The following is a 17,728-nucleotide window of genomic DNA, read 5'->3' on the forward strand; positions in this document are numbered from 1 at the left end:
CCCCTCAGCCCTCCGGCTGCCCATCTCCTCAGTCCTCCTCCTGTGAAGCCTTCAGCTCCCCATCTCCTTATCCTTTCAGTCCTCCAGTGCCCCAGCCCCCTAGCCCCTCAGTCTCCTAGACCCCAGCCCCTCATCTCCCTGGCTCTCCAGCCTCCCGTCCTGTGTCTTCTTGCCTCAGAGGCCTCAGGAGACATTGAACACTGGGAGTCAGAGCATGGACAGCCCAGCTGAAATCAACGAGAGGCTCCTATCACACCCTGGGCAGAGGGATGGGGACTCAAAGGGAACTGGGTGAACCGACTGCCCAGCATCGTCCATTCCACGTTTCAACTACATCCTGATGGTGCTGGAAAGACGCCCACAGCTGGAGCTCTGACAGCATCATGGAGGGGCCAGGGGAGCAGAGGGAGACCTCTGGTCATTAAACTTTTCAGGGCTTTGCTTTTCCTGGCTCATTTCATTCTGTTTCTGTTTGGTGGGGATTATAGTCCTCATTTAATAGCTGGGAACATAGGGTACAGAGAAGTAAAGCCCCCTGCCCAAGTTCACCCAGCATGTGTGTGGCCGAGCAGAGCTGGATTCCACCCCAGGCGTGTCTCCCTGGGAAGCCCACGCTGTGTCTGGCTGCTTGTGGCTGCTTGTGGGCACCAGGACTCCTGCTGAGGACTTGGGAGCTGCTGAGCACAGTGGGCCTTCATTAGCCTTGTTCACTGCTGGGTCCCAGGGACTGTGCCTGGCATATAGTAGGCGCTCAGCAACAGTTAAGGACAAAAATCAACTAGAGGGGTTTTAAAATACATATGTGTATGTGCGCATGCCTGTTATGTAAAACTGACATGTTTATTTAGGTAAGTAAAAAATCTAGAAATAAATGTCTCAAGGTGAGATTACAGGGCATTTCGTTTTTGTTTTTGACAATTTAAAAAGTGTTTTTAGAGGGAAAAAATAGCAGAGATGACTATATTCCTCCAGTTCCAAGTGATGCATTGAAAATTAAAGTCCAACCATGTTATATCTTGGCTTAAAACCCTTTTGTGTCTCCTCATTGCTCTTGGATGAATGCCAAAATCCTGATGTAGCCTGCAGACCCTATGTGCCCCGGCCCTGCGTGACTCCCCTCCTTCCCTGAGGCTGGAGGGAAGCAGATGGGGAGGGAGGAGCTCAGTTCTCCAGTCCTAGCCCTGCCACCTCCTCCCGGCATCCTTCCCTGATTTATCTCTCCTTACCCCTGCCAGACCTACATGGAGTTCATCTCTTCTCCGCATCATTTCTGTGCCTGGTTCATTTCATGTTAAATTGTAATTCCTGATTTATATTAGGACTTCTGCTTCTCTCTCCCTGCTAAGAGACAGGAATTCTTTTTCAGGGTGGGGGCTGTGCCTGGTTCATTTCTGTGTTCTCAGTCCCTGATAATAGCTTGGTCTTTATTAAATGTTCTAGAATGGAACTGAACTGGACGGTTTGCTACGGGCAATCCACTGCCCTTCTCTGGGCCCCAGTTTTCTCTTTTGTAAAAGGGGTGTAGGTGGGCCTTGAGGCACACCTCGAAGGTCCCTCCCATTCCAGGATTGAGCCTCAGTTTCATCTCCTGTAAAATGAGTTGTAATAACACCTGTCTCACTTGGCGCTGTGAGGACACAGTGAAATGTGAGTAACATGCTCAGACTGGCAGGGCTGCAGGGTCCACGGGTCCACCTCTCACTGCACCCACCTCCACCCTGACACATTTACTGCCATTTCCTGGAAGCTGATTGGAGCCGTCACTGGTCTAAACTTTTCAGCAGCATTTTACCGTTTTGTCCCCACAAGCCACAGCAGGGCTGAGATAAAAGTCCTGGGTGATCTGTTTGAGATGTAAACCCCTCCAGTCCTCCCACTGTTTAAACCCCCTCAGGGGCTCCTCCTGCTCCTAAAGCAAAGACCCAGACCTCCAGAGCTGCTTTCAAGCCCCTGTGGGGCCCAGCTCCTACTCCTCCCCCTCCCACTCCACCCACACCTATCCAGGTGTGGAAACTGAGGCTCTGAGAGGTGATGAGACTTGCCCGAGGCCACTCCATCTGTGGATGGCAGAGCCAGACTCAAACCCAGGCCTGTTGGGATCCGTCCCTGGGGCTTGGCCAGCCCTGGTGATTGGTGGCCATCCAGTGGGCCTCTTAACAGCTGGCAAAGACACTTCTTCCCAGTATCTGAGCCACATGTGGCTCACCGTGGTAAAATCTGCCCAGCAAAGGGCACTTACTGACTGAGTGCCACAGCAAGGAGCCTCATCCATGAGACCACCCACCCTCCATCCACCTCCTGCAGGCCCGCCCTGCGCTCTGGCCCACCCTGGTTGGCTCCCCTGACTTCTCATCTATTGATTTAGAAAGGAGCCCATGGGGGATGCAAGAGGCTCTGATCTATGGCGCTGTGTTTGCCGAGGACACTGGAGCCTTTGAAAGGGATTAGAAATTCATAACCACTGTGATTTGGGTCCCAGCCTGAGGCCTGTGTAGACATTCCCTGGGCTCCTTATTAAAGAGTGAATAGGTTGGCTTTGGAGGGTCCGAGGACAGTGCAGCCAGTGTGGCTCTTCTGCCCATTGCTGGGTCTTTAGGGGTGTCTAGTTGTGAGAATGCTGGTTCCACTGAGCATCAGGGTCTGAGGACCCCTGGCTGGGCCAACTTGCAGGTGTAAACAGCTCCTGGACTCCAATTCCCTCAGCAAGGAGGGGTCCCAGAAGGGGGCTGGTTTGCAGGGGGAGCTCATGAGTTTGGGCTTGTGCATGTCTGGTTTGTGATGCCTTTAAGACTCCACACATGACGCGTGGTTGGGGGCTGGGTCTTGCTCTGCGATGGGGCTGAGAAGCCCTGAGGGGGTCCAGAGGAGAAAGGCCCCACCTGCCCTCAGGCTTCATGGACCACCACAGTGAAAGGTTGTTGTTGAGGAGAGTGGACACCCTACCCTGATGGAGGTGCAGGGCAGAGGTCAAAGTCAGGTCTGCAGGGTCACCTCTGGGCTGAGTCCTAGAGGATGTACAAGATTCACCAGGCAGAGAACGGGGAGGACACGGAGGGCCGAAGCGCTGTGCAGAGGCTGAGGTACAGAGGTGCAGGTGCCCTGCAGTCAGGGCGGCATTCCGGACTGCTGCAACATTGGTGTCTGCAAAAGGGAAGCAGCACAGGAAGTTGGGAGCTGCAAGACTCAGAGCAGGAGGATCCTTGAGTGCTGGGTGTGGGGTTTACATGTCACCTGTGGGTCACAGGGATTCATTGTCCTGTTTCTTTTCGGCAGGAGGATGTGCTCAGGGCAGTTGCCTTTTGAGAAGGCACCTGGGGGCAGGTGAACTGGGAGGGAGACTCTGGCAGCAAAGAGGTCATTTCAGTGGCCTTCTGTGGCATAAGGGACACATGGGAGCTGGGCAGCTGCACAGGGATGGTGAGAAGTGGGGGCACACGGAGCTCCTTCCGTGTATCTAATAACACCTGCACTCCCTCACCTGAATTAGGAACCAAGTGAAAGAAAGGCCCACAAGTCAGGCACATGGAACACAAAATATCTCCTTTATTTCTGCTGAAGTTGAGTTGGAGAATGTGGCCAAGGTTTGCTGGTCAACGGATCTGCTGCTGCCCAGGCCCTGAATTAAATGCACTGACCTGGTCAAAGCAGGCCTAGACCTCGAGGGCCAACCAAGTATGTGAGCAGACCAAGCAGAGCTGAGTGCTGGATGAAATGGCAGAGGTTCAAGGACAGAGGCCAGTAAAGTAGGAAGGCAGGAGAAGTTTGACTCTAAGAACACTGAACAGAGACTGTGTGTACTGCTGGGCATTGGACATTTGTGCCTGTTCCTGGCCCAGCACTCATGGATCCATATGGGAGTCTTGTGGAGAGTGGGTGACTGGCAAGAGGGTTTTTGACGGGTGAGTAAGAGTTCTCCAGGTGGAAGCATTGTGGCACCTCCATGGACAGAGTCATGAAGGACAGGGGCAGGTTTGGGAAAGGGTGCACATATCCCTGTATCCCTGAGAGCTTGGGCAGAAGGAAGGATGTACTGAGTGTCTATTGTTGCTTTAACAAACCACCACAAACTTAACTGCTCAAAAATGGCACACATTCATTATCTCAATAGTCCTGGGGGCCATAAGTCTGGTGCAGGTATCACAGGGCTAGAATAAGGAAATGGCAGGGCTGCATTCCCTCCTGGAGGCTCTGAGGGAGGGTCTATCTCCTTGTTCATTTGGGATGTTAAAAAAATTCAGTTCCTTAGGATCCTGAGGTCCTATTTCCTTGCTGACTGCCAGCTGAATGTGTTCCCAGATTCCAGAGGCCACCCACATTCCTTGGCTCATGTCCCCTGTCTTCTGCTGTCAAATCCAGTGATGGCAGGTTGACTCCCTCTCACTCTCTGAGTCTCTCCTCTGTCTTCTCCCATCTTATCTCTCTGCTTTCTTCTTCTGCTTTTAAGAGTTTATATGATTAGAATGGGCCCACCTCATTCACTCAAATTAGGTTGATATAGTCTCCTGTCTCAAAGTTCATGACCTTAATCACATCTGCAAAGTCCCTTTTGCCTTATAATATAACTGTCTTAGTCCATTTTGCATTGCTTTGAAAGAATACCTGAGGCTGAGAAATGTATCGAGAAAAGAGGTTTATTTAGCTCATGGTTCTGAGGGTGTACAAGCATGGTTTCAGCCCCTGCTTCTGGTGAGGGCTTCCAATCATGGTGGAAGGGGAAAGGGAGCCAGCATCACATGGTGAAAGGAAGGAAGCAGGAGAGAGAAGAGGAGTTGCCAGGCTCTCTCTCTCTTTTTTTTTTTTTGTGAGATGGAGTCTTGCTCTGTCACCCAGGCTGGAGTGTGGTGGCGTGATCTTGGCTCACTGCAACCTCTGCCTCCCGGGTTCAGGTGATAATCCTGCCTCAGCCTCCTGAGTAGCTGGGATTACAGGTGCGCACCACCATGCCTGGCTAATTTTTGTGTTTTTAGTAGAGTGGGGTTTCACCATGTTGGTCAGGCTGGTCTCAAACTCCTGACCTCGTGATCCACCCGCCTCGGACTCCCAAAGTGCTGGGATTACAGGCGTGAGTCACTGCGCCCGGCCCAGCCTCTTTCATCAAGCCAGTCAAAAGGGATCTGTCCCCATGACCCAAACACCTCCCACCAGGCCTCACCTCCAACACTGGGGACCAAATTTCAACATGAGATTTGGAGGGGACAAATATCCAAACCATATCAATAACACAGTCATAGGTTCTGGAGATTAGCATGTGGATATCTTTGGGGGATTATTATTCCTCCTATCAGGGGAGGAAAAAAAGCAACATTTATTGAGCATCTATTAAGTGCCAAGGACCAAGCAAATTGTTTAGCATCCATCATCTCATTTTATCCTCACACCTGCTCTGCAAGGCAGGTAGCATTATCCCCACTTTACAGACAAGAAAACTGAGGCTCAGAGGGACTAGTGAAGGATAAACAATGCATAAGGATTAGAGGTATGATTTGAACCCAGCTCTGCAGTCTCAAAGCCTGTGCCCTTTCCATAAAATTTTGACACCACTTCCTACAAAGCAGGGCAGATGGGCTGGAGCCAGCTGTGAGGCTCAGTGTGCTGTCTCTGTCAACTGCCTGTCACTCAAGAACACGCCTGCCCTCCTGCAAGAGATGCCCAAGGCTGGTAGTCCTTCCTTGGGAAACAGTAGATGCTGAGGTGTGGGACCAAGCAAGCAGGTAACTGCTGAAACAGACACTGTCACGCTTGACTAATGGATGCCATTAGGTGGAGTGGCTGTTTTCTGCCCTAGAGTGAATTGCATGGGCCCACTTAAATAGTGGGGGTTTGATATCAGCAGATATTTATGGAGCAGGCCCCGAGGTGGGCTTTGGTAATAATAATACCTGCTCCACATGGTTTGTGGGTGGATTTTAAAAAATGAGTTGAAACTGCTGATCTCCATGTCAGACACGGTAGAATCTCAATAAAGTATATATTTTTTCTCCTTCTTGTTCTGTAACATGTTCTTTTCTATCTTAGAACCTGTCACATTTGACATGAGAAGTGGCCATTTTTCCTTCTTAGAGAAAAAGTGGTTTGGGAATTTTCTGCGAAAGATGTTGGTTTGATACAAGACAATGTAGATTTTGTCTTCTACTCTGACCGCTGATAAGTTGGAATAGAGAAGGGATCCGAAACTCATTTTATGGGGTCTGTCTCCCCTCCTGCACGGGATTTCTCACCCAGTTTAGTGAGTGCCTATTAAGCCTGCTCGGTCATGGACACATGCAGAATGGGCCCGTCATCGCCTGGCAGGCTGGAGCCTTCTCATTTATGCTTCCGCACTTTATATGCTGATAACGTGGTTTTAATACTTTTATAAACATTTGAGTATCTCCTGCAGTCATTTATTTTTCAGTTATTTTTAGGGGAAAATAAATTGTCTTTACACTCTAATAAAATCACTGTTCTGCAGCCTTGCACATGCTGAGGGGGTGTGAGCAGGAGCCAGAAGAGGCTTTGCCCTGAGTGAGTCAGCACTCCTGTTCCGGTGCTGGCAGGGCAGGTACCTGGCCATGGAGCTTAGGGCACGTCCCTTCCCCTTTCCAGGCCTTAGCACCTTCTACGTCATTTCTGGCATCCATAGTCTGAATGTTCCAGGAGTGTGAGCCAGGTGAATGGGAGCTAAAGGACTTTATTTATTAAACAAGTAAGCACCTACTATGTGCCAGGCACAAGGCTGTATCCTAGGGAAACAGACCTGGCCTCTGACCTCAGAGAATATACATTCTGGAGCTGAGAATATAATATAGAGAATGTAAGCTCCAGGCAGGCAGGGATTTTTGTTCATTGTGTTCACTGCTGCCCCTCCTCTGGCTGCAATGCCGGCCTCAGCAGGGGAGCATGGCCTGAATCCCTCCCTGGAGATGGGGACACAGGGTATGCCATGCTGAGCACTGCCTTCCCTTTAGGACTGTTGACATTACTGGGTACCCTGCCTCACCTCACACAGCTGGAGGCTGACCACATCCTTCAGAGCTTTACAGACACCTTTAATCCCTGTAATCCATGTGCGGAGAGGGCAGGTTTCGAACCCATTGTGTATGCAGCACACATCGCCCTGAAAGGCCCGTCCTGGCCCCGTCGATCAACACACCTGCAACACTAGTGACTCCTGCCTCAGATCAATGCTGCTTACAAAGTTGAGCGGGAGGATCGTGATTTCTTTTTCCTTCCCCTCACATCCTTTCTGGAATAACCAACCATCCTCATGCCCGCTCCTCGGGCCCTGGGAAGCTGGTGGGCTGTCCTGCAGGGCGGACCTTGGTGTCTTGTTGCTGGCTCCGCACCTGGACTGAGCCCTGGGCATAGTACTTCACATGCAGGACGTCACCCGCTCCCTGCAGCAGCCTGGTGAGATGGGCTTCATGGGGTTCCAGTGGGGCTGAGTCACATACCCAAGAATGCATGACCAGGAAGTGGCAAAGCCTCCATTCGAGCCTCAGACTAACTGATTAAAAATAATAACAATGAACACTTGTGGAGCCCTTCCAGGGACTGAGGTGGTGGACCTGGGCAGGAGGGGCTCTCTGAGCTGGTTCCTGGAGAACCGTAAAGAGCTGGCCTGTGGGGACAAGAAAGGAAAGGCCACTCTGTTGGGTGGACAGTTGGGACAGAAGCAGGAAGATGAGTGCAGGTGAGGGGCAGCTGCAGGTCGGTGTCTGCAGTCAGGGGGCAAAGGGCTGGAGAGGTGGGGCCTGATCTTGTGGGACCTGGAATGCCAAGACAGGAAGATTAGGCTGGAGAGCCAGAGCACTGGGGGGTTCCACAAAGTCCTTCTCTACGGTTGGCTGGCACCTCACTCACATCCGCCCCTTTTCTTTTGTTCTAGCTCTTTCTCCATGAAACATATTTGTGTGTCTCCCCAGGGACAGCTAGAGACACAGCTGCAGATGGTGTCATAGGACAGGGTGCTGGGTGCTGGGTCCTTCCCTATCCTCAGGAGGCCCTTAATGGCACCCTCCAGGACATCAGTAAAACAGGTCAGCTTTAATCTCTGCAGCTTCACAAAATGATTATCTGCTGTGATCCAGCTAGGAGCCAGGGCCCTGTTGAGCACCTAGTATGGGCCTTGTTTCATCTTCATGGCATCCCTGATATTTCTGATGTTTCTTATATTAGCCCCATGATACAGGTGAGAAAATTGAGGCACAGAGGGGTTTGCCAGCAGTTACATGAAAAGAAAGTGGCCAAGTCAGGTCTTGAAGCTTGGTCTGGTGTATGCTCCCGTGTCTGTGTTCTTTATAGCTACACGACATCTCTTCTGTATCACTTGTTGTTATTCTCTGTACATTTCTTTCTTTCGTTCTGTTTGTCTTTCTCTCTCTCTTTCTTTTTCCTTCTTTCTCTTCTTTCTTTCTCTTCCTTCCTTCCTTCCTCACTGCTGCCCCCATCCCTGACCTATTGGAGCAGCATCAGAGGGGCAGCTCATGCCCTTATTTCAACAGCCAATCATGGAGGGCACCTAGCTGGAGGCCTTCCGCATGCTGAGCACTGGACCAGTCAGGATAGGTGAGGCTATGCTTTAGGAACAAACACTCTCAAAGCACAGTAGCCTAAAACACCCAGATATTTATTTCTTGCGAATCCTACAAATCTACCAAGGGCAGGGTGGAGTAGCTGTGCTCAACATGTCCACCCACAGACCCTGGGGACAGTGCAGCTCTCATACCAGGGGAGAGGAGAGCTCTGGTGGGTTTGGTACCAACTATTAGGTGCTCAACAGGGAAGTGACACAGTATTTCCACCTGCACAACTCATTGCCCAGAACTAGCCAGAAGGTCTCACTTTCTGTCTCTCCAGGGGGACGGGAGGAGAGTCCCAGCGTGGTTCCTGAAGGGGGCAGATGTGAAAATATTTGGCGAAATGTATGACAACCTCAGGCACCATGGAGGTGTGAGTGGTGGTGACTCTGCCCCCACCTCCCTCCTCGTACCCCCTCCCACTCTGCCTGCACCTAGGGAACTTCCAGTTTCAGCAGAGGGACCAGGGCTGATTTTCTTCCCATTCAATCCCGGTGGCCTTGGTGGGTATAATTATCCCAAGGGAGTGGGAGTCAGCAGTTAAATGAATTGATGGTGATGACAGAGCTTGGAAGTCGCTGAGCTGGGATTTGAATCCAGGTCTGTCTGGCTTAAAGCCCAGTCCTCTCCTCCCTGAACCATAGTGTCCCTCATAGCAGTGAGCCTGGGTGAGATGCAGTGAGGCAGTCAGTCAACACAGCACTGCCATCCAGAGAACTCGGGGGGGGTGGTTTCAGGGGGGGCCGTGCCCTGATGGTGGACAGAATATGAGGGCTGGAGGGAGGGAAAGGCCAGCAGGTGCCCAGGCAGAGGAGAGGAGGCCCTAGGAGATGAAGGAACTGTGAGCAGATGGCCTGGCTGGGTGGATGTGGGAGGAAGAGGAGAGGAAGAAGGGAAGGGGAGGAGAAAGAGGATGATGAGGAGGAGGAGGAGTAGCAGGAGAGGGAAAGGATGGGCTGAGATAGAAATGGATTTGGGTGTCAGACAGACGTGAGCTTGAAACCCAAAGCTGCCATTTCCCAGCAGATTTTAATATTTGTTTAAATCCTCCTTGTTTGTTTAAAGGAAACCACTCCTCGTAAAGTTGATGCGACGTTTATGTAAGATGAGGCAACAAAAATATTTGGTGGAGTGTCTGATGTTCAGGGGCGCTCAGTAAGAGACATCAACACCAGCCTCCAGATAGAGAACGTTCCCTTTGTGCTAGGCCCTCTGCCAATAGGATTGCATCAATCAAGTCACCAAATCCTCAGAACAACCCCCTGATAAGATTCCATTGTTGTGTCCATTTTACAGGTGAGGAATACTGAGGCCAGAGAGGCTGATGCCCGCGTCACTCAGCTAGTCGGTAGATGGCCCTTTACTTTTCATTTTGGGCTTCAGAGCCTGACAGCCAAGCTCTGGGTGAAGGAAGCACACGCAGACCCCAACACCATGACCACCCTCCCCCTGCCACCATCCCTCCATTCCTGCACTCTGCCAAATCCTGAGCCTATCCCCAGATAGCTTCATTTCCCCAGAGAGGGAGCCACTTCATTACAAAGGTCCCTCTCCACAAAGACAGAACACGGAGGCCGATTAAAGCCCGTCAGCCCAGCATCACTTTTGTAATCGATGCTCTGTGACTGTGAATCGGGTGTCTGTCGGCAGCTGCCTAATTTTAGCTGGGTCTTTGCAGGCTTCTCACCAGGCTCACCCACCCCAGTGGATGGGCAGAGAGGTTCTGAGAAGCATCATTGATCTTTTGACTAAAGTGTCCTAATGAAATACAAATCTGCCATTTCTCACAGAGCTGTCTGTCGTGGTGGCACAGAAGAGATGCCACTGGGAGAGCCAGAACCATAATTTCATGTAAAACCCATCTTGCATGGTGCCCTGCAACCCACCTCTTCCTTGCCTTGACCTTGGCCCCCCAGTTCAGTCCTGGGAAATCGATGCCTTTTACTGTTTCAACTTTGGCACAGAGCGATGGGGGAAGAGCTGTCAATAGGTGTTAAAGACATTCCCAGTTGTGGGCAAGCTCCCTGTTAGGGGGTCCTGGTCTCTGGCAGTGAGTTGGCACTGCCAACATGTTTACTTGCATGGGGGAGATTCAGTGCCCCTGGCCGTGGGCATTCTGCCCAGTGTAAGTGACTAAGGAGGCAGCAGGGGTGAAGGGTTTTCAGGGCATCTGGAGTCCCTGGAAATGTAAAAAAAAAAAAAAATTGTCCATGGGGCGAAAGTGGGTAGAATAAGTAAATGCTGTCTTCATCTTGCAACCAGATAGTGGGGACTTTAGAAAAGGAGGGAGAGAGAATAGCAACTACCACTTGGGGACAGATGTTATGGTAGGACCAGGTCATCAGATGTGACTTGGGAGAAGATCCTGGGGCTCCAACTATTTCATCATGGAAGTGGGACCTCTAAGACCCAGGAAAGGAAGGGCAACCTTTTCCATGATCACCCCACAAATCAGTGGCAGGAAGAGAGATACAGATGTCCCCAGTTAGATTTTCAGCTTCTTAAGAGGAATTGTCCCTGTGCACAGAACATCGTGGAAAGAATATGATTTCTCTCAGCCAGCACTGAGTGTGCCCAACAGTCTAGATGAGGGGTCAGCAAACTATAGCCCATGGGCCATATGTGGCTCCACAGTCTGATTTTGTAAATAAAGTTTTATTGGAACAGACACATTCATTTACCTACTAAGTGTCTAAAGCTGCTTTCACACTGTAACTGCAAAGTTGAGTTGTTTCAACAGAGATGGTATAATACACAAAGCCTAAAATATTTACATTTTATAATTAAATATTTCAATTAAATATTAATTATAATCAAATATTTACAACTGTATAATAAAATTAAATATTTATAATTAATTACAATTAAATATTTAAATCTGGCCCTTTATGGAAAACATTTGCTAACCCCTTGTCTAGGTCCCTGAAGGGATCTTACACATAATTTACACAATGGTTTTATGTACATTTTAGTGTTATTATTGAAGTCAGAAACTTATTTTCAAATGGATCTGACATAGATTCCCCAAAATCTAAAATTAGAGCAGCAAAACTTTTCAGATTGCAGTGGAGAGGGGGCTGAGCCTGCCCATTCCTGGCCTCCTCTTAGCCTGCTCTGGTCCCCAAGTAGAGGTACTGGATAAAATATAGGACACCTGGTTATGTTTGAGTTCTAGATAAACAATAATTTTTTAGTATAAGTATGTCCCAAATATTGTATGGGGCATACTTACACTAAACAAATATTCATTGTTTAGCTGAAAGTCAAGTATAACTGAGAATCTATCCATCTTATATTTTTATTTGCTTAATCTGGCAACTCAACTTTTGAGCCACCACAGAGGAAGAACCTAGGTGAAAATGATTAGCCTCTGGAATAGATTTCAAACTCAGCTTGCCATTTCAAGTCTGGCCTTGGCCAAACTCTGCAGCGTCATCACCTGCCCTGACCTTCCCCCACTCCTTCCTGTATTAGTCCATTCTCACACTGCTGTAAAGACACAGCCGTGAATGGGTAATTTATAAAGGAAGGATATTTAATTGACGCACAGTTCTGCATGGCTGGGGAGGCCTCAGGAAACTTACAATCATGGCGGAAGGAGAAGGGGAAGCAAAGACCTTCTGCACATGGTGGCAGGAAAGAGAAGTGCAAGCAGGGGAAATGCCAGACACTTATAAAACCATCAGATCTCATAGGAACTCACTCACTGCCATGAGAACAGCAGGAGGGAGAATGTCCCTATGATCCAATCACCTCCCACAGAGAAGCAGATCTCTCCTTCAACACCTGGGGATTTACAATTCAAGATGAGATTTGGGTGGGGACACAAAGCCTAACCTTATCACCCCCCCATCCTTCACTCTCCAGCTCCACGGAGCTCTTTTTTGCTTCCTTCCACACCGCTGTTCCCCTGCCCAGATGCCTCCACAGACCCTGATCCCCAAGCTCAGCCTTTCTGCTTGGCCAGTTCTGCAGAATCACCTCTCATGAGGTGTCCATCTATAGATTCAGCAGGTGCAGGTAAACAGAAGCCAGGAAACCACAGATTCAGAGCTCCTGGCTTAGAGTCATTGTGGAGCAGGGATTCATGGAGAGGAGTGTAGGCAAAATCACGGGCATTTTTAAGCTACTAGTCAGATCTCTCTTTTTCTTCCTGAACACATGGAGTTGAAATCACAAATTATCCTGTGTCTACACAGGGCAGTGAGCCCTTTAAGGGCAGACATGGTATCTTTTTCAACTCAACTCTGCGGCTCCTCTTGTGATCCTGTGAAAGACAGGAAGGGAAAAGCAGTTCAAGAGGGAGGCCCAGCAGAAGCAAAGGCACCGTAGTGAGGGCGAGTGCCGCAGACCCCGGGAACAGGGCAAAGCAGAGGAGGAATGAGAATAACAGGAGGGACAGTAAGGCCCTGCAGAGAGAGCTGGGCTTAGCATGGGGCCCACGTGCATGTGGATTCTGACTGCCCACTTCTGGCTGCTTCCCTGAGCCTCTGTTTTCTCACCTATAAAATGAGGATCGTGATCGGCGCCTCACAGTGTTATTGTGGAGATGAAATAGGAGAATGTATTAGGTTGAATGATAGAAAGTTGTTGCTATTTCAACCTATATTTTCAGCCTACGAAATTGGCAATTTCACAGTGATTACCCTAATATATAGAGTGTTAATTCCTTGCATGGTGCCTGGCACATAGTAGATGCTCATTTTAATGAAAGCTCTTATTATGAAGGGTAACTACAGTGGGCCCTGCCTGCGGGCTAGGGCAAGTTTCCAGAGAATCCCAAAGCCAGAGCAATGAAGACCCCAGGAGGAGGTTGGCGTCCCTCTGCAGCCCTGACCGGCCCTTCTAGGGATGGGCTGTGCTTTTGAATAGTTAAGGGTCATGGCTTCTCTGCATCAGAGACTCCTGTCCCTGCTTTAACCTTCCCCTGCTAACCTGCCGAGAGCCTAGCATTGTCTCAAGTGGCACTGAAAAGCTTGTGGCCCGGCCTTGTGGCCTGGAGGATTTCCAAGGTGTCACCACCAAGCAGGTGCTGGTGGCATCTCAGAGCAAGGCCTGAGGGGCTTCTGCCTTCTCTCCAGGGGATTCCTCCCTGCTCCTTTCCAGAAGCTCAGAGGCTTTCACTGGTAACGTCAGGCCAGGTTCATGTGGGAACTGGATTTCTGGAAAGCAGACCTTGGCAGGGGCCCTGGAGAACATGTGAATTTCCCCAGTGACTGAGCTCCCATGGCTGCCTCTGAGGAGTGAAAAGGGGAGTGGGCAGGAACAGGACAGGGAGGGGAGAGGAGGTGATGGGCCCCATGAGGATATGGCCACTCTCATTCGCTCCAGGTGACTATTCAATGGGGCAAAATTATCCCCGAATCCCCTTTATCTCCATTAAGTGCTTCTAGGAAAGACTGACTTGATATTTTGGGTAGGTGGGAAGAAAAGTGAGAGACAATAATTTTCAATAGAAATTGCAGGATGAAGAAATCTCAGTGATTTCAGCTTTGGGTGCTTTTTTTTTTTTTTCTTTTTTTGAGACGGAGTCTTGCTCTGTTGCCCAGGCCGTAGTGCAGTGGTGCCATCTTGGCTCACTGCAACCGCTGCCTTCCAGGTTCAAGCGATTCTCCTGCCTCAGCCTCCCGAGTAGCTGGGATTATAGGCGGCTGCCACCATGCCTGGCTAATTTTTGTATTTTTAGTAGAGACAGGGTTTCACCATGTTGGCCGGGCTGGTCTCGAATTCTCGAATTTCTGACCTCAGGCGATCTGCCTGCCTCCGCCTCGCCTCCGAAAGTGCTGGGATTACAGGTGTGAGCCATTGCACCCAGCCTAGCTTTGAGTGCTTTTTAATGTCTCTAAATGGCGCCAGGTGAGGTGAGAAGCCAGGTCTGACACCCAGCCCTTCTGCAGAAGGTGCTCCAGGGTCCCCTGCATGTCCCTGCTCTGGGTGAGGGACCGGAGGCAGGGAATCTGGGTCCTGGTGTCATCCTCTGGAAAATGGGGATAACAATAGTACTCATCCCCTTGGGTTGTTGTTTGAAGGGTTTACCACACTGTTTATCCCACTCAGGACATTTTGGCTACTCCTACTATTATTTTATTATTATTATTCCTACAGTGCCCCCAGAAAAGTTGTGCCAATTCTTGTGACAGATGAAAGATTCTAAAAGCACCTCCAGAGTGCTTTAGACACAGATATGAGACCAAGTGAGCTGGCTTCTTGTCGTCTCTGACACCACACAAGATCTTACTGATCTAACTCTCTTTCTGAGTCTCAGTATTTTCATCTGTGAAATGTGCTTAGGATCTTATGCAATGGCTGACAACCCTTTTAGGTGATGAATTTGTGAATACAGATGTCCAGAAAGCAAGGCACTCTTTTAAATAGAACAGACAGACCTTTTGCAATCATTCAAATGACTCAGGAAAACTTGTTGGATGAAGTGAAGATAAACCTCATGCCTGGCTCATGATTTATTCTGAGTTATTTTTTGTCTACTGTACTTTCTATATATCCATTTGTTAGTTTAATATGCATTTATTAGAAAGCACCATGGGCAAGGTTGGGGTTTGGGGAGACAGAAATTCATTGTTTTGGGCAGTGGGAATGCAATTGTGAAAAAGGTAGACAAGGACTCTGCCCTGAAGGAGCTCACATTCTGGAGGGGGAGGTGGGATATAAGTAAATACATCAATAAATAGGTTGATTTCCGACCATGATGAGAGCTACTAAGGCAATAGCTGCAGATGATGTACAGGATTGAGGCCTGATGGACAGGAGGAGGGAAATGTCTGATAGGATGATCAGGGAGGGCTTCTCAGAGGAGGTGATGTTTGAATTCAGCCTTGAACAATGAGGAGCCAGCCATAAGGCTGCTGCGGGGGAAGAGAGCCCCAGGCAGAGGAACAGCACATGCAAAGCTCTGGAGGTGAGTGTGAGCTCGGAACTCAGAAAAGGCTGGTGTGGCTGGAGCGTAGTAAGGTGGGGAGAGCAGTAGGAGATGAAGTCAGAGGTAGAATTGTGAGGATTAAAAGTTCTCAGCCAAGTTTTCAGCACATGGTAGCTCCTTTTTAACTGTTACTTATTATTACCTATGATCACAGTGCTGAGACCTCACTTGGGTACAGGAAACATGGGTAGGATTAGAGAGAGGAGAACAATTTTGAGGATCTTGAAGTTCCTCCTGGACCCATGAATTTGTGAAGAAGAGGCTTGCAAAAACTTTGCTCATTTTAGTAGGGTAAATACTTTCACTTCTAGTCTTGTTTATATTATTAATTGGTTTAGCAAAACAATTCTTCCCATAGCAAACACAAAGGTGCCCAGAATTATGATCAGTTTTCATTAGTGAGATTTTATTGTACTTCAAAAGACAGATCTAAGTTTCCCTGTGAAAATGTAAAGATTAATTCAAGACTCAGAACTCATTTTTTTTTTTTTTTTTTTTTTTGGTTTTGGAAGTATCTGACAGTATTCTAATATTAGCAAAATTGTGAATTCAGCAGGATTTCACTTTTATATGCTTGGAAACTTCTCTCATCCTAGGCCCCTCTGCCTCCCAGGATGCCAGTCTCCTAGGGCTCTTCTAGGACGGCCTATCCAGGGTCCCCCAGGTTGGCCCTGGTTTCCCAAGGCTAGTCTTTTCCATGACTTACAGGACTGGAACCAGCGTTAAAGGTCAGGGAGCCCATTTCACAGACGAGGAAAGCAAGGTCAGAGAGGGAAAGAAACTACTCTTAGGATGCCTATCAGGAATACAATCTGGGACAAGGACATCTCCTCAAGGCTTGTTAAACCACAGCACATGGAGCGCAGCTGCTGTTGCCAGATACACAAAAGATCAGTTCTGCCAATAACTGGAATTAATTCATTAATGGATTCATTCTAAAGACATTCATTGAGCTGACAGGGTGCCAGAAAATGTGCAAGACACTAGTGAAACAGAAGAGAATAAGATTAAATCTCTGTTCTCAAGGGCAGGGAGTCGGGGTAGCTGGGCAGGGGGGCTGTGAACCGACGGAGACCAAGCACAGTATGCCAGTGGGCAGGATGGAAGGTTTACCAGAGAAGGTGACACCCAAGACTGGCTTTGCTGTGCAGGTGGTAGAAGTCATCCAAGCCAGAGGGAACCCCTGGGCAAGACCTGCGGTGGAGTGAGTGCGCAGCACTGAGGACCCTGCAAATATTCAGATGAGTCAGGCTGAGTGCAGTAGGGGTGTAGCTGGAAGGGACTGGATAGGTAGCCTGGGGCCAGATCACCAAGGCATTTGAATGCCTGCCAAGTGCTCAGTAACATTCCCTCCTCTCTCCATTCTGCAAAGAGCCCTTCATTTCTTTCCTGTTTGCTCCTTGATACTCCATGTTATTTTGGTTGCGTTGCCAATCCACTACCTCCCTTCCCGCGTAGGAGTGAGCATGTGACCTGGAAGTGACCAATCACAAGTTCCCATCCAAGTGGCTGCTGCGATTGGTGCAGAGGCAGGCACGTGGCTCAAGCCAGAGCAAGCAGAGCCCCTCTGGGGCGTCGTGGGGTCAGGGGTGTGTGTGGGTCATGAATGGATGCTGGGTGGGGAAAGGTCTCTCCTTCCTACGGGTCCACTGGCTGGGTGGCTGTCAGGCTGGTACTATCTTGGGCGTGGCCTCTCCACCCATCTGGCCATTTGGAAGAGAGTATGAGCTGGGCTTTTGACCTTGTATTATGTAAACGGGCTTCATACCCAGGTCTGAGTGCAGAGCCGTGCTCTGATCATGAATTGCCTAATTGCATGCAGTGCTCACCAGAAGCCAGTGCCCACGCACCTGCCTCTCCTGGCTGCCTCCAGCCCTTTCCACCCCAGCCCTCTGCCTTCCTGACTCATCTTTAAGTAAAGGCTTTTCTTCGCCTCCGTGCAGCGCTCCGAAGCTCTGCTTTCCTGGAAGAACTGGGACACCTCTATCCATAGTGTTCTCAGGAAGCCCAGACGTCTCAATTATTCATTAGTCTGACTTCTCCATCAAAGGGTCTGAAGTTCTAGAAAACTTTCTCCAGTAGCCTGCTGTGGGAGTCGCAGGGTCCTACTGTTTAGTGAGCCAGGAAGAGAAATGAGCCTGTTGCTCCCAAAGGGCAGACTGGCTGCTTGATCTAAAATAGGAGGGGAAGAAGGTTGACCTGGTTTGTGCTGGGTTTTTTTTGGGGGGTGGGT

At 49.4% G+C, this 17,728-nt stretch overlaps 1 long non-coding RNA gene across 3 annotated transcripts in view, besides 1 other annotated feature; it reads left to right on the forward strand.

Moving 5' to 3' along the window:
- The window catches only part of LOC107984934 (uncharacterized), an 84,718-nt gene that overhangs the window by 28,263 nt on the left and 38,727 nt on the right, over positions 1-17,728 (forward strand). The gene's annotated exons all lie outside the window — the stretch shown is intronic.
- Positions 2,872-3,075: a silencer, noted in NCBI's record as "fragment chr1:30108561-30108764 (GRCh37/hg19 assembly coordinates)". NCBI's record gives its function as "represses an EF-1alpha promoter that drives an FKBP-Casp9 reporter gene in an ReSE screen in HepG2 liver carcinoma cells {active_cell/tissue: HepG2}" and the evidence as "EXISTENCE:reporter gene assay evidence [ECO:0000049][PMID:32094911]".

Source organism: Homo sapiens, chromosome 1 (genome assembly GCF_000001405.40).
Source record: "Homo sapiens chromosome 1, GRCh38.p14 Primary Assembly".
NCBI classification, from domain to species: Eukaryota; Metazoa; Chordata; class Mammalia; order Primates; family Hominidae; genus Homo; species Homo sapiens.